The sequence below is a fragment of the Homo sapiens genome, chromosome 7 (genome assembly GCF_000001405.40).
Source record: "Homo sapiens chromosome 7, GRCh38.p14 Primary Assembly".
In the NCBI taxonomy this organism is placed as follows: Eukaryota; Metazoa; Chordata; class Mammalia; order Primates; family Hominidae; genus Homo; species Homo sapiens.
In genome coordinates this window covers 136,045,172-136,069,082 of record NC_000007.14, presented here as the reverse complement: position 1 = coordinate 136,069,082, position 23,911 = coordinate 136,045,172, and the positions used below count along the sequence as shown (strand labels likewise).

The 23,911-nt window shown below is 40.7% G+C and overlaps 1 long non-coding RNA gene across 4 annotated transcripts in view, besides 1 other annotated feature; it reads right to left on the bottom strand.

Annotated features, from left to right (window-relative positions):
• LOC105375523 (uncharacterized) overlaps positions 1 to 23,911 on the bottom strand; it is a 459,019-nt gene that overhangs the window by 370,883 nt on the left and 64,225 nt on the right. For 2 of the 4 annotated variants that reach the window (NR_187954.1, NR_187953.1), the window contains one exon: positions 10,578 to 10,617. The exons of the other annotated variants lie outside the window; for them this stretch is intronic. This is a non-coding gene — a long non-coding RNA (uncharacterized LOC105375523). The remainder of the gene's footprint in view (positions 1 to 10,577; positions 10,618 to 23,911) is intronic. 4 annotated transcript variants of the gene reach the window in all.
• Positions 8,115 to 11,203: an enhancer, noted in NCBI's record as "VISTA enhancer hs2077". NCBI's record gives its function as "enhancer in: ear[5/9]" and the evidence as "EXISTENCE:transgenic organism evidence [ECO:0001131][PMID:17130149]".

Below are 23,911 nucleotides of genomic sequence, written 5' to 3'. Positions count from 1 at the left end.
GATCCACACTTTGACTCTCAACTCTTCCTTCCAAACATCCAGGATCCTATGTGGATTCTCAATTCAATGCTCTTAATGACCCAGGACTAGTTTCTTCTTGAAGAATCTGCTTGGTTCAGTTTAGGTTGGGTCATGGACTATCCCTAGATATATAGGAAGCAGCCCAGATGGTGTATATACTGGTGTCCAGTTGCATTTCTCAGAGAAGGAGGAGTTGTTATAAGCTGGGGATGATCAGACAGTAGGTAACTGCCTCAGTCCTTGAGATTTTGTGGTGCCCCTAGCTATTCTGGTCCTGCTAACCCCTGATACAGCCTCTATGATATTCCTACATAGTTCTACTACCCCACCACTGCAGTGCTGGCTGTGAAATGACAAGCCAGAAAACCCACACATGACTGTAGTTTCTCTATCAACAAGAGACTGTCAATTCACTGATGAGAAAACATTTCATTAAAAATAATTCTTTCTATATACAGATCACTTGACAGTTCACAAATCACTTTCATGGGTTATATGACAGAACCCTCACAACAACCTTAGGAGATAGAAAATGTAACTTTTATCTCCCTTATAAAAGCAAGCAAACTCAGAAATGCTACTTGACTTGTTTCCAATTACAGAATTAATACATAATAGAGACAGAACTTGAGCTCAGGACTCCAGACTCCAAGGCTGAACATGCTTTCCAAGGTGCCACGGGGCCTCTCACTTCAGCAATGAAGAAAAGCAAATCTGGAAGCCCAGCACACACCACCTGGGATGCTTACAGACTGCATACAACACAATACTGCAAATCGGTGGGGACTCAATAAGGCCAGAATCCCACCATTGGCCTACCTTCTAGACTTGGGTTTACTAAAGGATAACCTTTGGTTCAGCAGACTCCTCCGCATTCGAAGTGGTATGTCAGTCATACAATGAGGTCTAAAACAGCAAATTTCTAACCCACAACTTATTAGAATCCTTTATCAAGTATTATTAAAATACCGATTCCTAGACCTAGACCTCCTAATTCAGAGTCTCTAGATATATAGCCTGGGAATATGGACTTTTTAAAAAGCTCTAAAGGAGCTATTGATCAAACTGAAGGTTGTGATCCACTTTTCTTAAATACAATCAACTCTGCATATCGATTATACTCCTAAAATAACTACCAATTAAAGGGAGGGGAGATTCAAGGCTTACTGGATATGGCAGTAATAGGCTTAATGTTGTTGTAATAAAAAATTTTCAGTTTTCATAGCCAGAGTTCTTCCTACTTCTAAGAACTATAATTATTCTCCCTCTTGGAAAAGTCATGTTAAGAGGGAGTCATTCTCCTCTACCTTCTGCTATGCTTATGACTGAGGCAGTGCTCATTAAAAGATAAGTAAACAATTTGCCTGGCTTAGAAACAACCTGAAATAGTAATAATAGAAATTTCTGCAAATGCAAGGAGGCAGAGTTGCTTGGAAGACCCAGGTCCAGAAGTAGCCCTGGGGAACATACTTTTATCAGCAAATACTTCAAGCCATCTGCATATGTAACAAACCAAAGCAGGAAAAAAAGAAAAAAGGAACCCCTGTAACTAGTGCTAACCTTCAACTAACCCCTATAGACATACATTAATCAGACTTTTCATCTACTTACAGATATCGTCAAAGAACAGACACTATTTTGTGTAACTGACCATGACTCTGTGTTGGCCACTCTAAATTTTAGGTCTCAATTTAGACTGTACTCCTAGCAAAATGTTAGAAGTTTTTAAAACATCCATTGGTTCATTCAGTTTACTAATCTCACTCTGGCTTCATCTTATTTTTTTCAATCTTTTATTCAATTGCTTGACCTACTTATATTTAATTATATTTTATCTTGTTACATGCTATATATTTTTATAAGTTGCCCCACATCCTTTTAAGAAACAAGGAAAAAGGGGAAAGAACGATGAGAAAGAGGAAGAGAAAGGGGGTGGGGAGAAGGTAGGAGGGAAAGAATGAGAGAGAATATTCTAGAGCAGGGGTCCCTAACCCCCAAGCCATGGACCACTACCAGTTCGTGGCCTGTTAGGAACCGGGCCTCCCAGCAGAAGGTGAGCAGCAGTCAAACATTACCGCCGGGGCTCCCTCCCGTCAGATTAGCGGTGGCATTCGATTCTCATAGGAGCGAGAATGTGCATGCGAGGGATCTAGGTTGCGCGCTCCTTATGAGAATCTCATGGCTCTGAAACAATCCCCCTGACCCCGTGCGTGGAAAAATTGTCTTCCATGAAACTAGTCCCTCGTGCCAAAAAGGTTGAGGACTTCTGTTCTAGAGCAGCTGCAGCCCCAAAATCTCCAACTTTACTGAACGCTTGTATTTTTTACTAATTACAGATGCTAGTCTTATAAAGCTGGGTATCATATTACTTCAAGTTATTCATAACTCACTGCTGTGGTTTTCTAAAACTGTGTTTATCTGTTCTAAGAAATAAGATTAAGTATCCTTACTTTTTTTCAACTTAGAACTGTAAAATAAGTGAAGGGGGTACAATTTATTTATTTATTTAGAAAAACCACTTTCCACACATTGTATGTTAGTCTGTCTCCCCTGAAGACATGTGACTCTTGCCCATCACAGTATCCTGGCACAGGGTAGCCATTCAATAAATTCTTGTTGAATTAATGAATATGGCCAAAGCAAAGCCATATTTGGGGATGCAATCATGCCTAAAACAGGTCCTCAGCTCTCTGACGTTCACAGTCTAACAGAAGGATAAAACATATATGCAAGTATATACAGATGATTGTTATGAAGGTACGGCGTGATAAGTATATGAATGGTAGAGAAAATAAGTGTTATAGAAATCCCAAGATGAAATAGGTTTTTTTCAGGAGAGCACACAGGGAAGGATTCATGGAAAAGGTACATTTCACTAGCTGGAGGAGGCAAAACACACCTTTTTTTTTTTTTTTGAGACGGAGTCTTGCTCTGTCGCCCAGGCTGGAGTGCAGTGGCACAATCTCGGCTCACTGCAAGCTCCGCCTTCCGGGTTCACGCCATTCTCCTGCCTCAGCCTCCCGAGTAGCTGGGACTACAGGCGCCCGCCACCACGTCCGGCTAATTTTTTTGTATTTTTAGTAGAGACGGGGTTGTTGGCCAGGATGGTCTCAATCTCCTGACCTTGTGATCCGCCCGCCTCGGCCTCCCAAAGTGCTGGGATTACAGGCTTGAGCCACCGCGCCCGGCCAAAGCACACTCTTTTTAAGCAGAGAAAAACCCACAGGAGCAAAGGAAAAGTGGGAAAAAGCAAATGTGTTCAGGAGACAAGTTGAGTTGGAACTGGGATGGAAAATGATGATTCGTGTGAAAAGACTGTTAGCTATTTCCAACATCCATCATTCTTCTCTTTATTTATTTATTTATTTATTTATTTATTTATTTTTGAGATGCAGTTTAACTCTTGTCGCCCAGGCTGGAATGCAATGGCGTGATCTCGACTCATGGCAACCTCCGCCTCTCAGGTTCAAGCAGTTCTACCACCTCTGCCTCCCGAGTAGCTGGGATTACAGGCACCCGCCACCATGCCCAGGTAATTTTTGTATTTTTAGTAGAGACGGGGTTTCACCATGTTGGCCAGGCTGGTCTCAAACTCCTGACCTCAGGTGATCCACCCGCCTTGCCTCCCAAAGTGCTGGGATTACAGGCATGAGCCACCGCGCCCAGCCACCCTTCTTTCTCAGTAACAGAAACTCTGATTTGAGCTGGTCCTCTTGCTGCCTCACTAAGAGACAACTTCCTGTCCTTTCCAGATGGTAGGTGAATCCATGGAATATTTTCTGGCCGGTGGGATGTAATCTGAAGTGTCATGTGAGACTTCCAGCAAGTCTCTATAAACAGAAGGGGACACATTCTTTTCTTGCATTATGTGCCTCATACTCATTAGTGTAGACTGAATTCTTAGCAGTCTTCCTGGACCATGAGAATAGGGAGAGTGAGACCTAGAAGCAGCCTTGGTCCTTGAAGAGTTCTTAGAGACACATACAATTCCTGCCTATTTCCTGTCTTGTTTTACAAGAGAAAGAAGTAATTTCTATATTGCTCAAGACTCTGTCATATTGGGTTTTCATGTTATGTGAAGCCAAACCTAATCCTGATACATTTAGAAAAATATGTAAGCAAAACACACTCAACAAAAAACAAAAAATATAACCTTCTTCCCTTAAGTTGTTCAACTTTTCCACTCATCACTTTCTTGACTTTCCTAAACCCAGATGACACAGCTCTGCTACATTTAAGTAATGTTTACCACAAACATAGCTCCTGAGAAATCATCCTCAATAGCATCATCAAAAGCAATTTTCCAGTATCTGATTCTGGTATAAATCATTAAGATTTTTGCTTTGGTATGCCACAATTACAGCTAGGCAAGGCTGCAGTATGGAATTAATCAAGATGTAGTAACCAGGTCAGCTTCAAAGGACATAATAATTTCAGCAGGAGATGATGTCAAGGACAAGGGAGGGTGTGATGCTGAACTTGGCCATCAAGGCAAAAAGCTGCCCATCTCTAAGCAGGTATGAACCCTGGATTAAAAGAGACAATTGTGCATCCAGATAAAGTCCTTATTTTTATCTGTAAAGCAAAATCGGTAGCCTTCTGAATAAGTGCCGAAGAGAATATTTCTGTAGCCGGAGCTCAATGAAGTATGTTAGAGAGAGAGAGAGAGAGAGAGACAGATACAGACAGACAGAGACAGACAGTGGTGGACAAGTCAGTTTGGGAAAGGGTGGTAGTGATAAAGAACATGAGCCACGTAGTGACAGCAAGGAACACATAAGGAGATTAGCAGTTCCCAGCTGATTAATCATCTAGCCCCCTCCTTCCTGTGGTCCCAGAAGTAATGTCAACATTTGCCAGTGACTTTCTTTGAAAGTCCCTTTTGAACATTAGCAATGACTGCAGAGCAGGGACACATTGCCTCCTCCTCACTGCACTTCCAGTTGAACATTTTGCCAATTCAGCCCTTGCCAAAACCCAACATTCAACCTCATCCTTCTCATTGTTTTCTTACTCACCATTAAAAACACCCCCCTAAAAATTCATGCCTTTATTAAAGTTAAAAGGCATTTCTGCATCTATCTTTTGATCCCAGTAACCACTTAAATGAAGAAGCTGAGTCCCAAGAAGTTCCATTTAATTGACGTTCCTTACAGATTGGTTTTTTGCAAGGCACCGTTCAAGGTGCTGGAAGTGCTGGACCAGTTTACTGATGGAAAAGAAGAAGGAAGAGAGGAAGAAAAAAGAAAGGAATCTGTACGAGCAGGGACAGAAGTCAAGGAGTGCGAGGTACACTCCAAAAAGAGTGGCCTGGTTTGGACAAGTATCGGTTACCTAGAGGAGAAAGAGATCAGGATAGAAGGGTAGGTGGGGTTTATAATGCAGAGGCCCTGAATGCCAAGGAGAGAAGCTGCTTTTTGACTCAATGTGAAGCCAACGAATGTATCTGTGCAGGCTAATTACACGCTAATTACATGCCTTCAGAACTGGCTTTAAGAAACTAATCTGATAGCAATGTGTAGGTTGTATGCAAGTGGCAGTGGCAAAGCCTGCATTGAGGCAGAGGCTTTAGAAAAAAAAATGATGACATGACAAGTATAATTTTCTCTCTCTCTCTCACTCACATATCTGCAATTGGTTTTTAGTTTTTTGGGTTTTTTTTTTTTTTCAATCAAATCTCTTCCTAAGCGGAGGTGTCTCTCACTTGTGGATTTTAATCCTACAAGCCTCTGCTTCTGCGTGGCTGCCTTTGTGAAGCCTGACTCTGTCGGAGAAGCACATAGGCACGACACTTAAGGGACTCTGCTCCTCCAGCAGCTGCCCAGCATCACCACAAAACAAATATGTGTGACTGTTGACAGAAAGTAATAACCCTTCCAACAGCTGTCGAATAAATTGCCTATTAGCAGATCCCACACCATAATTCATGTCAGATCATGTAGATTCAGCCCTTATGAATGACTGGGAAAATCTTATCATTAAATGAAGTTCTATACCAAATCCCTAAGCATTTTCTTGTTATTTCCAGCTCATTCCTCCTCCAGGCTCATTCCTGAACTTTCTGAGAGCTGGCAGAATCAAAGACAAGCAAAAAGTTCATACTCTCTGTACACAGTTCCTCTGGGAAAGGGCCCCTTGGGTCCTTGGGATCTATATTTTAGAACCACAATTGAAATGCAGATTTTTAACTCCCATGTTGAGCAGGCAAGGAGGAGCTTCTGACTTGATTAAAATGCTGATGCATACATTTTATACTTAACATTTTTCTCCTATAGCATGAACCCAGCTAAGTGGAGATGTTTTTAATGAACTTTCAAGTCATGCATGAGGTTTCAAGTAAGTTTTCCTTTTTCTAGATAGGTTTTCTAAGCCTTAAAGGAACAGGATTCTGGAACTTTTTAAATAGCATTTTAACCACATCTCTTACTGATGTATGTCCATAAACTAATGGGACATTTGACCATTTGGTCTTGTGTGGCTGGAGGAGGCAGGAGAGCCAGGAGACAGGAGATGAAATGTGGGATTTGCAGTCAGGCTGCCCAGTGTCCTGCACCTTGGAGTTAGGAATATATCTGAATCATTTTGAGCCTCAATTTCATAATTTACAAAAGTCAGGCTGGTTGCTGCAATGAAATGAGCTAGCAACTAGACATCACCCGAAACACAGAAATCACACAACAGACATCAATGCCTCACTCCTGCATTGAGTGCATCTTGTTACGCCATTTATTCAGTGAACCTGTAAAAATCACTCCAACAATCTGGTCCTCCATTTCCTTGCTTGTAAAAATGAGAAAGGTTAGAGTAGACGATCCCCTAGGTCCCTTCTAGTCCTAAAAAATGATGACTCTCTGATCCTATATTAAGCATCAAAACTCCCTAACCAATATGGGAACAAAAACTGTAAGTAGTGGGCAAACAGTGACAGGTGGCTCAGCATGAAAGAAAATGCATAGATGGCAAACAGGATGAGAAGTGAAAAGCTTGAGGGAAGTAGGGAAAGCAAGAAGAATTGAGGCAATTCCATCTTTTCTTCTTCTAGCTATACATAGGCTCTCACTTCAAGGAAAAGAAAGACAACAAGATGGGAGTTGGGGGGCATGAGAATGGCATGGTGCTGGAGGTGGGGTAGACAGAAAAAGTCGATGAGAAACTCAAACAGAAGATGTAGTGTATACGACTTAAATACTATATAAGATGTGCCATGTAAAACAGAAGATTTTCGAAGATACTATGCTACAGGCAACAGACCTTCTTACTAGCAATCCCAAAAGGACACCTTCTTTTATTCTCTTTCTCATCTGAAGCCCTTAAAAGTCATGAAATGCAACCTTGAGATTTGAGTATAAATAACTCTCTCAAACAAATGCCTGTCTAATTCTATTTGATCTTATTCACAGTGACTAGGCAATCTAGTAGACAAACAGGATGAGTGTCATCTGTGTCCCCCAGCAGCCAGGAGACAGTTGGTGAAGGGTTTTAAAAATCGCAACGCCCATCTTCCCCACTTCTTGAGTTGGAGGCTTTCCTTCATTACGCATGGCAATTTTCTCAGGAATTCAGCAAGAGACCAGCCTCAACCACAGGTAGCACTCAAGCAAAAGACAGGTGGCATTCTCCAAGAAAGTTCATCAAAGACATTCTTGGCATTTTATTACTGATATGTCCAATTTTAAAAAAAATAAATGTTGTTAATACTGAATTCAAATAGAACAATCATACTCATGCCGATTATCCAAAGGAAGCAAGATTCTTATGAAATATTTCCATAACTTAGTTAGAAATGTATTTTTTAAGGATTTATTTTAGAAACCACGCTCATGTGATATTTTGGTTTAAGATTTCAAAGCATGTTATCAACATGCTTTTAACTTTTTCCTGGTTGGGGTGAACGTAATGAGATTGTTATTGTTATTTTTAAAGGAATTGACAAATGAATACCTTTAAAATTTCTCATTTAAATTGCTAATTCAATAAATACCAATAGACATAAACCACATAAATAAAAGATCTTGGGTCCTTCAATAATCTTTAAAAGGGTAAAGGATACAAAGACAAAAAAGTTTCAGAACCACTGAACTAAAATGTTATGAATCCCCTATAGCCTTGTGGTCACAGAATTCTTCTCACCTACTCCTTCCTCAGGTTCCCTTCCAAACATACCAACCAGGTCATTGCTAGGCTGGGAACCCAGATTGTATCCTCGACTGCTTAACTAAGTCCTAAGTCCTAAGAACTCCTGCTCAACTTTCCCAGTCTCTCTCTTAAGTGGCTCAATTCAGTTTCTCATAATAGATGACATGATAAAGCAGCTTCATCACAAGGGCACAGTCATCCAAAATGAATATTTTTCTGACATGCATTTTTATTTTAATTCATTTTAGCCTGTTAGCCTTCTCTGTTATGTTTGTGAGAGCAAAATTAAAATTGGAAATAATCCAAATATTCAATATTTCATGCCTTTGCTCAAGTTTTTAGCTTACGAAAATTTGCACAAGTATCTTTATGTATGAACTTTTTTTAATTTAAGAGGTCATTAAATTATGTCAAACAAAGAACAACCATAATTGTCTAAAAATGAATGGTACTTTTAAAATGTTTTAATTTTTTTAAGCCCATACGTGTTTTGTTTCTATTGTTAGGGTTTTTTTTCCATATAAGAAAAATAATCGATTAATTAAGAAACAAATCAGAAAGCACAGAAAAACAAAAAGAATATTTATAGTAAAACTGCCCCAGAGTAATCTCATGTTAATTCTTTGGTGGTATCCCCCTTCCATAGATTCTAAATGCACAAATACATTCTTTCTATATAGACTCATTCCAGGCATGCCATTTTTATCTTCTTTTTTTCTTAAATAAGGTAGCATAGATATCAAGCTCCTCACCATGGCTTACAAACTCCTACATGCCCTGCCTACCTCTCCAACAAAATCTCATATCCCTCTGCCCTTTGAACATTAATACTCCAGCCACACCTGACTGCTTTCTGTTCATCTGTCTTGCCAGTTTTCCTCCCTCGGACCTTGGCACTTATTTGCTACTTCCGCAAAGAAATACATCCCCCCAGCTCTTTGCATGCCTGGGTCCTTCTCATCCTGTAGGCCTTTGCTCAAACATCACTTTCTCAGAGATACCTTTCCTGATCACCCAATCTAAAATAATGCTTCCCTCAACCCCCTACTTAAAACTCTATCATATTGTCCTCTTTCCTTCTTGTTTATTGAGGCCTTGTTCGCTGCTGTGTCTCATGTCTCAATAGTGTCGAGCACATAGTAGACCCTCAACAAATGATTGTAGATGAATGAATGAATGAATGAATGGATGGATCTATTGGTTTGTGTAATATGTATCACAAAACATCCCTTTTAATGATCCCCACTGTGTTCCATCATATAAATATAACAAACAGTTTAAAATATTCCATTATAACAGGTCAGACAAGAAAGAAATTGAGTAAAGCTGTAAAATGTGGAAAAACAGAAAATGCAAAACCATGCATAAAAAGTTGCCAAATTCACTCCTATTGATTCATCAAAATTGCCTTACCGATTCGTTGAATTGCCTAGACTATCTATTTTCTATGAGGCTGCCTTCAACAAGCACTTTCCAGTACCCCTAAAGCCACTCATTAAAGATATGGATGAAACAAAAGCATAGAATCATAAGCTACTGCTCTTATCACTGTGGACATGCCCCATTAGTAAGTCTTCATTATGGCTCCCCACACCCGACTTCACCAGGGCCACTTGCGTGTCTTCCTTGTTCTGCAGACTGTGTGTCTTGTAAAGTCCCACCTTGATAACTGGTCAGTCTCCCCACAGACTTGCTGGGCAGGCCCTTTGTATCCCTTATATGGCATTTTCCATCTACCATTTAATCATCCAGCAACACCTGGCATTAAGGACAGTTGTTACCTGGCTGGGTAGTGTCAACACAGAGGCTCACACCAAGACAGGCCAGATCTGGCCTCCTACCTACTACCCTTCACTACTCCTGCACCAGAACCCTCTCCTGTTGAAAGGATGGGCTAGATCTTTAACACAGAGCTGCTTCTTTGGTTTGTGTTAAAAGATCTTCTCCAAACCAGCTGAAAAGACCTCTTGTTTCTCTATTAATTCCTTGAAGCTAAGACTTTTCCTTCTAATCTAGCCACTAATCTAAAATATGAGCCCAAGTTGATTTTTTTGTTTATTGTTCACCTCACTTGACCTGCAATTAAAGTGCCTACCAGTTCCATTTTCTCTCAGTTACACATGATTAACCAATGCTGTCTTGAAAATGAATAGGAGCTGAAAGAGGGCTGCCTTTTGACAGAGCTTCCATCCTTCCCTTAGAGGTCCCCAGGTCTGTTTCCAATCAGAGAAATCCACAAGAGATTCTCCCTTGGAATTCTTACTCACATACCACATTCCTGCTGCATTTAATCTTTCTGTTTTTTTTTTAACCTGTAGATTCTCCTAAACTTCTTGGGAAACATGTAATGATATTTAATTTTAATTCTATGGCTGCAATGGATTTTGCTGATTAGAAATGGAGGCTTCTTGATGCAGTACCTTAATCTTCTTTAAAAACAGCTCCTGGAGTTCTCTGCAGCTGTAAATTATAAAAACCAAAGCAGGATTAAAAAATACACATGCACTGTGCATAATTATTTAAAAGTGCAACACATCGGCTTAAACAGTAATATAAATGCATCTTTGAGATAAATGAGGCATTAGTGGTATAAGTTTTGATTATTGGTTACTCTTCTCTGGTTTTAAGATGTGGTAAGAATATAAATCACTCCAAAGGGAAAAATTAACTCATACCTGTCCTGTCACCTCTTGGATCAGGAGATAGACATAATAAACACGATGAATCCTTCTGCTTCTGTTACAATAGGAGGCATTCCCCACCTGACCCATGGCCCCTCTGTTACCTGCCCTCATAGACCACGTCTTTTATTTCAGATTCATGTTTAAATTTATAATTTTATTTGGCACCAGACTATAAATTCTCTCAGGGTGGCCTTGTTGTTATTCTCATCACAATCATACTCCTAGCATAAGGTCACCAAACAATACTAGTTTGCCTGGGACTGTCCCAACTAGGGCACTAAAAGTCTTGCATTCCAGGCAACCCCTCAGTTGCAGGCAAACTGGGACAATGGTTTCCCTATCCTAGCACCACAAACAGCTTTTAAATGAAGGTACAGGCATAACAAGTAGCATATATCATTCCTAAAAGAAATAACATTCATGAACAATAGAATAGTGCAGTGGTCAAGAGCATGACCATGGAACTAGACAACCTGGGTCCAAATCCACGCTCTGCCATTTCCCAATTACGTGATCTTGGATTACTTCATCTCTCTGTGTCTCAGTCTCTTCCTCTGTAAAATGGGAAGTTAATGGTAGCAGCCACAAAAGGACGTTTGAAAATCAAATTAGTTAACGTAGGTAAAGTTGTTAGGTAAAGTTAAGTTGTTAAGAATAGCGCACAACATGTTTTATTAAAATTATGAACACATCTGGCTGGGCACGGTGGCTCATGCCTGTAATCCTAGCACTTTGGGAGGTCAAGGCAGGCAGATCACTTGAGATCAGGAGCTCAAGATCAGCCTGGCCAACATGGTGAAACCCTGTCTCTACTAAAAATACAAAAAAAAAAAAAATTAGCCAGGCATGGCGGCAGGCACCTGTAATCCCAGGTACTCAGGAGGCTGAGGCAGTAGAATAACTTGAACCCAGGAGGCAGAGGTTGCAGTGAGCCGAGATCACGCCACTGCACTCCAGCCTGGGGGACAGAGCAAGACTCTGTCTCCAAAAAAAAAAAAAAAAAAAAAATTAACACATCTAACATAGTACTTGGCTCCTAGTAGCTGTTAATAGATGACAGATTTTATTCTATTTAAATTATCATAAACAGGAACAACCCTGTGCCAAATCGTAAACTAAGTGAAATTGTTCTTCATTTCCTCTCATTTCTTTTTTCCAGGCTTGTCAAAAACCAGGTCAAGTGATTTCCTCCTGGGTGTTCATACAAGCTCTAGCTAACTCAACCCCCTCCCCCACTGTAGAACACTCTGCTTTTCCTCTCTCAGGGCACGACAGTCTTTGGACTTGACCCTTCTTTGCTCATCAGCATGCATTTTGCATCCACTACTGCCTTCATCCTGTTACAGAAATGAGTTGCTGGTCGCTAATACATTCATTTATACTAATATACCTCCTCCCCAACCTGCCTCACCTCCCACCCCAGGGATTTAATTTTCAAAGGGAACTCCCAGAGACCTCATGTCTTTTAATCTCAGGGAACTAATCTCTAATGATTGGGATTTGAGACTATGTGGGAGGGAGGAGAGAATTTGGGAGCAGGGTCATTTCAATGGCATTTCGCAAATCGCTATGAAGCCAACTGCCTGCTACGTGGAGAATTCATTTTGTTGGATGCTCTCTCCACCAATTCCTGCTTTGAGACACATATTTATTACTGATTAATATGTTCTGATGTTGATTCTATTGAAAAGCTGCTAGCAGACAAAGACATATCTCTTACCCTTGAGTAGAGGTGCGAGAAAAACAAGTTCAGATACACAGAGAGAATGGAAGCTATCGTCCCACCACTCATTCATTAGGGTAAATTCCTGGAGGACAAGGTCTTAAGAGAGATGACTGAGGTGAGGCTCAGGATGAGTGAAGAACACTTCTACTTTGACCTTCACCTTTACCTGGGAAAGAAGTCTTAGAATTGCTGAGCCACACACAAAATTGTGATGTGACTAAACATTAATGTATAATTTCTCTTTCATTGATAATCCTTTTCCCTTTAGTAGCCTGGACTCAGGCATTCAATGCCAGCTAAATCCACTCTGATGACCCTCTTAAGTCTGTCTTTCTATATAATACCCCACACTTCCAACTCCCCTCTTTCATCAAAACTTGCTTGTCTCATCTCTTATTCCTTCAGCACCTTACTCTAAAGCAAATCTAAAGAATGAAGTTGGGCTAAGAGCTGATGGATATTGGTTAGCATGTGACCCCTCTTATTTTTATTCCTTATTGCCTTAGCCTGAAGGTAAATTTCAAGTGTAATAAATTTCAAACATTTATAATAGGCATATCAAGAAAATATTTAATCAAGACTGTACATACCATACCCTAAAAGCATATCCTAGAGTTTTTACTGATAAAGAAGGTAGAATTTAATGTCAAAAGTCCTTCTTCCCATGGCAAGATTTTTATTAAATATTGTTTTATTTTATATTTGATCATTACTTAAAAATAAGTCAACTTTAGTTTGAGATTTTAATTTTACAAAAAAGAAGAAATGTGTTTAACAGCTCAAGTTGACACTTGGTGATCATCCCCCACCTTCCCAGTACTATTCCTTATGTAAGAAAATTGATACAAACAATAATATGCCTGGGAACTCCAGGAACAAGACCCCCACCCTCCTTCCTTAATAAGCCTGGACAACTCTTACCCAAGAACTTGACCACAGACTATTGACAACAAAGCTTAATGAATAAAGACTTTCACAGAAGCTCTAAAGTTCAAGGTTAGCAACAAGAACCTCAGCAGTAATATTATTGGTTAACACATACCAATCAGTAACCAATAAACCTTAGTCAGAAAATGCCTCCGGTACACAACTCAATTACTTGGGTTGTAATATAAGTCCCTTCGTTCAGTTTTCCAGAGGTCTAGAGAACCAAGGTGAGTCATTGGTTCTGACCTGTGGAGTGATGTCTTCATAGATAATGTCCTCTGGAGAACTTTAAATTATTCCCATGGCAAAATATTTTTCTTTCCCAACTGTCACAGAAGCTGAAATTTTTATTCATTCCTTTCAGCTGAAGCTGAATTTCTCTTAAAATTCCCTGAAAGTTCCCCAGAAATGATAACATATTAATCCAACACCTATCATTAATACTTTTTATTGCTAGGAAGGATGGAACAAAAAGAAGAACACAGTATTCAGATCCAGAGGTTCTATCACCTAAGTGAGTAAATGAAGCAGCAAGTATTTTAACTGATGTATTGGAGTTTTCCTAATAAAGTAGAATTATATACAAGCATTATGGACTAAATTGTGTCCTCCCCAAATTCACACATTGACGTTCCAACCCCTAGTCTCTCAGAAGGTAACTGAATTTGGAGACAAGGCCTTCAAAGAAGTGATTAAATTAAAATGAGGCTGGTAGGTGTGAGGCTCTAATTCAGTATGACTTGTGTCCTTGTAAGAAGAGAGACACCAGGAACACACGGGGCAGAGGAAAGGCCATGTGAAGACGCAGTGAGAAGGCGGCCATCTGCAAGCCAAGGAGAAAAGCTAAACGTGCCGAAACGTTGATCTTGGAATTTTAACCTCCAGAACTATGAAAAATTTAATTTCTGTTATTTAAGCCACTCAGTCTGTGATGTTTTGTTATGGCAGCCAGAGATGACTAATATAAGTATCTCACTTAAATATGAAAATGGCATTGCATCTGGCTCATTCCTAAGAACAGATACCATGTGTGTTGGGTTCAGTAGAGAATTTCAGTGCCCAGTGGTAAGCCTTCCTCAGTGCTCATGGTAGGCCTTCTCTTTATATGTTTGTTGCCTAAATGAAATGATGGAGAGATAAATACATAAACAAGCTAATTGTATCCAGTATATTTAAAGTGTTGCCTGACTGAAAGATAAATAGTGGAAAGCAGGAAGTATATGCTCTTCTCTTGCTGGTTGTCTGCTCTCCCTTGCTACTAATGGTATGTGGCTGACTACTTTCAGCCAACTCACTCAGAGCCCAAAGATGCCAACTTCTGCCACAAAACAATTTGCTGGCCTTAAACCACCAGATATTTTAGGTGGCAATCATATCTTTATTTTTTCTGTCTCTCTGTTTTTCCTCTCTGTCTGTGTGGGTCCCCACTCCGTCTGTGTCCTCCTCTCTCTCCATGTTCCTCTCTCTCTGTGTCCCTGTTCTTGCAGCAGAATAATTTTATGGCAATGAAGAAATGGTAACAACCAACCAAAACAAAAAGAGCCTGATGTTGGAAGGCTGCTACAGAGATCCTTACAGTGACCAGTTCGTACTCCTTTGAGTGGACTACATCAGCACACATCAAGTCCAACTGCCAGCGTCTGAATCTCATTGCGTGGGTGATGTATATGACTGCCAAAACCCAGAGCCCAGAGTCCATGTGGTGCTAGATAATGAATTCCCCACATGTACACACCACCGCCCTCCAGCTACATTCAACCAATGACTAGCAGGAGTTGGTGTACAAATATGCTAGCTAGCCCTCTTACCCTTAGGTGATACAGCTCCGCATAGAAGGGTTAAGGGCCAGTTGTCCACATTAGTAACTTGCTAGGTAAGTTATCTTCATTTTCTGCCTTTCCTCCTGATTCATTTTCCCACTTTCCTTTCACATTCCAAGTAAACTACTGGTACCTGAATCCGTCACTCAAAGTCTGCTTTTGGGCAAAGACAAATTCAGCAGAACAAAACACACCTGGTTAAGAATCCTGGCTCTACCACTTACAAGCTTAGGCAACTTCATAATTTCCCTTGGTCTCAGTTTTTCTATTTCTAAATGGAAATGGTTAACACCTACTTTGTGGGTTTGATTGAAATAATAAATGACAATCTCCTGAACTGTGTCTGACATATTGTATCTACCTAACAAGTTCAGGTTTTCCCTCTTCAAGTTTAACTCCCTATGCAAGAGATTTCAAACCAGTAAACAGCTCTAACATTTAAATCTGCTATATGACAAACCACTCCCAATTGGGTGGCCTAAAACAACTTTATTTAGCTCACAATTCTTAGACTCAGCAGTGTGGAGTGGGTTCAATTGGATGGTTTTTCTGCAGGCCTGAGCTGGGCTCACTTGGGCAAACGTGAGCAATAGCTAACTGTTTGCTGGGGTGGCCGAGGTGACTGAACCATGTGTCCTGTCACCTAAAAGGCTAACCCAGCCTTCACGTGGTGGCTCAAGTTTCCAAGAGCAGCAAGAGTGAACAGGTTGTTTGGTGCCATTTTTGCTACCGTCCTTTTGACCAAAGCAAGTCCTATGGCTTAGCTCAGATGCAATGAATAAAGATTCTGCTTCTTGGTAGGAGGAGCTACCAAGTCACATTGCAAGGGTTTGGATATAGAGGGTGTAGAAATTTGTGGCCATGTTTGTGATCTATTAGGTTGGTGCAAAGATAGTTGTGGTTTTGCCATTAAAAGTAATTGCAAAAACCACAAGTACTTTTGCACCAACCTAATACTACAGAAAATATGTCTGGCATATATCTGAGGTGCTACTAATGTGGGCAACTGGCCCTTAATTCCTATATGCAGAGCTGTCTCACATAAGGGAAAGAGGGTTGGCATATTTCCATGCCAACTTCTGCTAGTCATTGACCGAAGGTAGCTAGAGGGTAGCAAGATATCTGGGGGCCACCAAAAATTAGTGGTGGATCCCCTAATGCTGGGTAACTTGCTAGATATTTGAAGGACAGTTTGGCTCTCATAGGACACAAGAAGTCTTACTAACTTTAGGGGCAAATTTTAAGTCTGATTTTTATCTTTGATCAAAGTTAGAAATCTTTGTTGGAAGATGATACAGATAAAAGATTTTTAAAATCCAAAAATATATTTGTTATACTACATTGTTCAGATGTGTTATCATTTTTTAACCATATTGATAGTCATGTGAGTGGCTGAAATGAATGTTTATACTTCTGAATGCAGGTATTCAAACAAACACATTCTTCAAGATTCTTGAAGATGTAACTGTAGTCAATTCAGGGAACCATTTTAAGCCAAGAAGGCTCTGCCTTTCATCAAAGACCAATTAATTGCAAGCCCAAAGACTACGTGAAGAAAATAACAATAATTAGTGCCTTCTCATGAAAGCAAACCATTTTTCTAAGTTGATTGTGGGTCATATTTACTCATCTTAATTTCAGTAATAATTACCTCTATAAAATTCCTTATAAAAACCCCTTTATAAAACTCTGCTTTATAAAAACTTTTGTAATAAAGAAGAAAAATTATAAATAATCTTGGGGGAAACAGTACCGTGGATTCAGTAAATTGCAAGTAGCATTTCTGGCTGGTGAACAAAATTTGGTCTGCTCCATAAAGCCCACAGAGGTTTGGGGCATTAGCCATGAGATAGAAATAATTCTTATGCTGTTGTAATTGCGTTTATTTCCTATTAAACTGCCACATACTTCTGATATTGTATTAGACTGTGTATAATTAGGATAAAAGAATTAAGGCTTGAAATCCTGCCTTCCAGGAAGTTATTATTCAGGAGAGGACCTAGGATAGTGGCAACAACCCACACCCTTCCCCAGCCCATACGCAAGAGTAACCACAAGCAGCTCGAACAAGATTCATAAACTTTTTCTAAGAAATTCAGTCAAGGCGCAGAGCAATGGCTAAGGCACATTATTCCATTACATTAGTGCAAAAGAAATTGCAGTTTTTTTCCATTACTTTTAATGGTAAAAATGGCAATTACTTTTGCACCAACCTAATGGAATAATTTGCCTAAGTATAACTCTCCTGTGTGCATAGACGAGAGAAAAATTCAGCTCCCTGCCTTCCACCCAGAACCCGCTCTGGGCCCCTTTGGAGGGACACTTCTCTAAGGCAGGGCTAAAGACTTAGTCATCCTCTCTGAATATGGAATCCAGAGTGGGACTTCTCTGAAGGTGGAACAAAGGGAAAGATCCAAATATAAGGAAACTCTGGGTTCAGCTAAACCATATCCAGAGACAGACTGCACAATGAGATAAAACAGCCCCAAAGGGAGAGTGATCATATAAAATGAATGCTGACCATATAGAATGAACACATCCAAACCAGGATACTCCTAAGTATACCAGGACAGTAGGGGTAAGTGAAGGCTGCCCCCAGTTTGGGCGACCTTTATATGGGAGAGCTAATAATTTGTCTGAAGACTTAAGAGAAACTTTTTCTGGCCTTGTGAAACACACTGATCCAACCAAGCTACAATAGAGCAGAAGTCAACTCTAACATATTACAGGGCCTCTTTAGCACTCAGCATCCCAGCAGAATTGTAACGAGCTACACACAGCGATACTGACAAGTGCAGCTCACGGCGTCACACAGGCACCATCCCTGTGACTTTAGGGAGAATCAGGAAAATATTCAGAAGGCTCCTCATCCCCAGCCTTTGTTCTACTGTACTCACAATGTGAGCCACTAGTAGGAGAAAGAGAAGGATTTGTATTCTAACAGAAAGACTCAGTGGGACCAAATTTGTGGTTTGGCAAAAGCGCTCACATACTAAAATACCTTCTGAGAAGTCCCAAGAACTCTGACCCCCTTACAGATCTGTGAGGTATTTCCAGTAACTTATCTTCCTGCTCATGCATGGCTTCTCACATCCCCCTTTGGAATGATCTGACAGCGTTCATCCGTGTCTTCCAGGTGTCAGCTCTGAACATTACAGGCACATAAATAGCGCCATTAATTATTCCATCGCCTGCCCGGAGCCCTTGAGCGTTGACCTTAGGGAGTTCAGACAACAGAGAAGGCTACACCATGGTTTAAATCTCTCTCACTTTTGAGACAAGAGAAAGATTAGAATTTTAGTCTTCCTTTGATTATTATAGAATTTCTTTTCATCTAGACACTTCATGGGAAGAAAAAAAAAAAAACACTGTCTCCCGTCCTAAGTGAATGCTTACACCACAGATGACAGTTGGAAGATCTTACAGAGGCTCAATAAGTATTAAAGTATTAGAGTTTTATCTCATTTGAAAGAGGACTGACGTACGCTGCCTGCATGCCAAGTTTCTTTTTTATTGCAAAGTCGCCAAATATTACTGTATAAAAACAGGTTTGCTGACATAATCCAAATTACCATGAAATCTTTACAGTGAACATTCACTTCGTCACTGCCAACCACTGGGTATTCCAGTCCTGCCACTCATATTAATACCTGCCATTTGCAACAAAGCTTTCTTTAACCCTTTTCACGCCCTCTCCCCCATATCTCATCACCTTAAATTCTTAAGAATCAGCTCACTCCTCCACCCCAGCTCCTAACCTCATGACCTCACACCACAACTACAGCAACAGCCTTCTAACTGGACTCCCAGTCTTCAGTCTCACCCACCTGCAGTGCATCCCACCCATTGGTCAGATTAATCTTTTTAAAACATGCCTCCTAGAGCATGCCATCACACTGTTTAAATCATTAGAGGCCAAGGTGAGAGGATCACTTGAGCCCAGGAGTTCAAAACCAGCCTGGGCAAAATGGAGAGATCCTATCTCTACCAAATAAAAAATACATTAAAAATTAGCCAGTTGTGGTGGCATGTACCTTTAGTCCCAGATACTGAGGAGGCTGAGGCAGGAGGATTGTTTGAACCCAGGAAGTTGAGGCTGCAGAGAGCATTGATCATGCCACTGCACTCCAGCCTGGGTGACACAGTAAGACCCAGTCTCTAAAAGGAAAGAGAAAAATTAAATTGTTAGAGGTTCTCTCTTGACTTTGAGAGAGTGTTCAGGCTCTTCAGATGGATCTGCCAAAATATGGCATCAACCTAGCTCACCATCGTTATCTCTCACTATTCAATGAAGGCTGGGAGCTTCCACTCCTCCCAAACAGACCATGGAGATGCCTACACTCACACTGTGGGTTCAGCCAGCTTCCCACCAGGAACGCTCCCCAACTTCCCCAACGCTCCTCCTATTGTCTCGGTCAGAGGTCGAAGTGATGCAATTGCTGTATCTGAAGATAAGGGGGCAACAAGCCAAGGAATGCAGGTGGCCTCTAGATACTGGAAAGGGCAAGGAACCAGAATCTCCCCGAGAGCCTCCCAGAGGAACTTAACCCTGCTGACATTCTGAGGTCAGCCCTGGAAAACTCGTCTCAGACTTCTGAGCCTTGGGGCTTCCTTTCTTTCCTCTCTTGTAGCATTTATTATGTGTACTGATAATCTAACACACAGTACTCTCTATCTTAGATCATTATTACTTTGTGTACACATTCTTCTCCCCTACAAGATTTTAAACTTCTAAGTGGAAGAATCAAGTTTTATGTCTCTTTCTCTCTTCAAGCACACTTAGGCCACTCTAAATATTTCATTTGTCTGCCTAAAACCTTCACTAGTTTCCTAATGCCTTCCAAATTAGGTACAAACACTTAACATTCTGAGTCTTCTGCAATTTGAAACCTAAATATTTTTGTTTTCTCTCTTACCTTGTTGCACTGTCGTGTTCCCCAAATTATCCTGAACTTTCCTGTCACCATGCTTCTGCTGATGCCATTGTCTTCATCAATGTCTGTGCTCCCAACATGGAGGCCACTAGCCACATGCAGCTAATGAGTCCTACAAATTGGGCTTCTTCAAATTGAGATGCACTGTTAAGTGTAAGGTCATACCAAACTTCAAAGACTTCACACAGGAACAAAAAGCATGTAACATACCTCAATAATTCATTTATATCCCTTACATATCAAAATGATAATATTCTCGATATTCAGAATTAAATAAAATATATTATTAAAAGTAATCTCAGGCTGGGTGCCTGTAATCCCAGCACTTTGGGAGGCCAAGGCAGGTGGATCACTTGAGGTCAGAAGTTTGAGACCAGCCTAGCCAACATGGTAAAACCCCATTTATACTAAAAATACAAAAATTAGCTGGGCATGGTGGCGGGCGCCTGTAATCCCAGCTACTCCAGAGGCTGAGGCAGGAGAACTGTTTGAACCTGAGAGCTGGAGGTTTCAGTGAACCAAGATCACGCCATTGCACTCCAGCCTGGGCAACAGAGTAAGACTCTGTGTCAAAACAAAATAAAATAAAATAAAATAAATTTCACCTTTTTTTCTTCTTTAATGTATCTACTAGAAATGTTTACATTATATTTGGTTTATATTATATTTCTACTGGATATAGCTAGTCTAGAAGGTTCTCTTCCCACCACCTCTCCTAAACTAAATCTGATCTTCACCCCTTCAAGTTTTACCCAGCCTCTAGTCTCAAATGAAATACTGTTTGCACAGATCCATTCCTGATTCTTGATCCTCATTTCCAGGTGTGATTTGTTCTCTTCTGAACGCTACCCATGACTAACAGCATTTTATTTCTACCTATTTAAGAGGTAGAAATCAAGCCGTATGCTGCTTTGAATTAACAGGTTACAGCGGATTTTTCTTCACATCCTTTTCATTGACTAGCACAGTTCACTATATGTAGCTGTCCCTCAGTATGTGGAAGGGATTGGTTCCTGGACATCCCCATACCAAAATCTGGATATGCTCAAGTCCCTCATACAAAATAAAATAGTGTTTGCATATAACTTAGGCACATCTCCCATATACTTTAAATGATCTCTAGATTACTTATAATATTTAATATAATGTAAATGCCATGTCAATAGTAGTTATATTGCATAGCTTAAGGAATCATGATGAGAAAAAAGTCTGTATATATTCAGTACAAATGCTTTTTAAAAACTATTTTCAATCTGCAGTCAGTTAAATCCATGGACGCAGAACCCACAGATGATGCAGGACCGATTGTACAGTAGTAGCTATCCATATTGAACACTGTGGTAGGCGGAATAATGGCCCCCAAAATGCTCACAGCTTAATCTTCAGAACCAAGGTGAATAGGTTACCTTACATGGCAAGGGGGAATTAAGGTTGCAAATAAAATAAAGGTTGCTAGTCAACAGACCTGCAAATAAGGAGATTACCCTGGATTATTCAGGTGGCACATCATAATCAAAAGGATCTGCTATGGTTGCAGTGTTTTTGTCCCCTCAAAATTTATGTTGAAACGTAATCACCAGCACAACTGTCTTAAGAAGTGGGGCCCTTGGGAGGTGATTAGACCCTGAGGGCTCTATCCTCAAGGATGGAATTAGTGTCTCACAAAAGGGCTGATGTGTACTAGCAAGGAAGCTTTTGCCCTTCCATCCCTTCTGCCCTGTGAGGACACAGGCGTCTGGCTCCTCTGGAGGATGCAGCAATAAGGTGCCATCTTGGAAGCAGAGACGAGGCCCTCGCCAGACAACAAGCCTGCCAGTGCCTTGATGGTGGATTTCCAGCCTCCAGATCTGTGAGAAATAAGTTTCTGTTCTTTATAAATGACGCAGTTTCAGGTATTTTGTTATAAATCCAGCATAAATGGATTAAGCTAGGGTCCTTTAAATATGGAAGAGGCAGGTAGAACAGTCAAAGGAGATATAACAATCAGAAACAGATTTCGAAGTGAAGTGACTGCTGGCTCTGAAGATGAACGGGGCAACAAGCCAAAGAATGCAGGTGGCCTCCAGCAGCTGGAGAAGGTAAGGAAATGGACTCATCCCTAGAAACTCCAGAAGGAATGCAGCCCTGCCAACAATGTGACTTTAGGCCAGTGAAACCTGTTTCAGTCTTTTGACCTTCAGAACTGTAAGGTGATCATTCAGTGTTGTTTTAAGTCACACAGTTTGTGGTAATTTGTTATAGCAACACATCCTAATCACTTGTAATGAGGCAGGCACTAAGCTAGAGCTTATCATTTATCAGCTCACTCAGTCTACCCTGCAACTCTCTAAGATAGTTACTACTATAACCCCAATTTTACTGGTGACAAAATTGAGCCTCAGGAAAGTGACCCAAGGGAAACTCAAGACTCTCTGATGCAAACCCTCTGCAAGGAACCATTTCAAACCCATCTCAAATGTGTAAAAGGAAAGGCTTACAAGATAATCATGGGGAAAACAAGAGAGAGGAAGAAACAGCATTGCTATCTCTTGGCTGGCCTGCCTAAGGGAAAGAAACAGCTTGTTGCTTTTTTCACTGAACTTGTAAAGTACAAAAAGAACAGGCTGTACCCTGTCTCCACAACCCAGAGGATGGTCAATTGGGTGGCTTCTGGGAACTCACACACAGTTTCTCCCTTGCATGCTTGCACATGCTGAGGAAATCTTTTTTAACCGTTTGTAGGCCATGGGAAGAAGAGAAGCAGGGTATGAGAGTGGGGTTCCTCTGGGCACATGTTTGACTCTTTCCTTTGCTAAAAAGCCTCCCCAAATAAGGCAGAGGATACCAGTCTTGAGAAAATGGAATGTTCCCTCTACATATTGCTTCACATTTAGACTTTCACCCAAAACAAGCCCTCCCTGATCTCCCTCACTCAATCATACACCGCCTTTCAACCCTCCTGGAGCATTGAAAATCTGACCCTTGAAACATTGTCACTGTTACACTTTTCCACTTATGGGATTATTTAATTAAAATGTCTCTCCCCAGCCTCCATGAAAGAGGATTATGTCTATCTAGTTTCACATTTTGTCCTCAAGGAGTTATCCTTGATTCCAGCCTTTCTCAGCTCCCTCCACCCCCCAGAATCTTCTCAGCAAATCCAGTCAACTCTACCTCCAAATTTATATCCTGAATCCTCCTACACTTCATCTTTCTTGATATCATCAATGTCCAAGCCTTCATCACCTCTCATTTGGGTGACTGCCATAGCATCCTGCTTCTACTACTGCCATCGAAAATGTCCCCCTGCACAACTGCCACAGATCACAATTACAATGAAATCCTAAACCTTTATCCTGGCTTCCAAAGTCCGGACCCCTGCCTTCCTTTCCACCCTCATGCCATGCCAACCTCATTTCAAGGTCTGCATTTTTTCTGCCCACATAACCGGTCAAGTTAATCCCAGCCTTGGGCCCTTTGCCCTTGTGTTCTCTGCCTGGAATGTTCTGCCCTCAATCTTCCCTCACATGGCTGGTTTCTTCCTGTCATTAAATATCAGCAGGCATCACCTCCTCTGATGTCTACCTGGGAGGCATAAGCATAAATGAACTTGCAAATTACTTTTATCATGATTCCTTATATTTGTATAGTCACCCAACAAATACCACCCAAGTTTTCTGGACC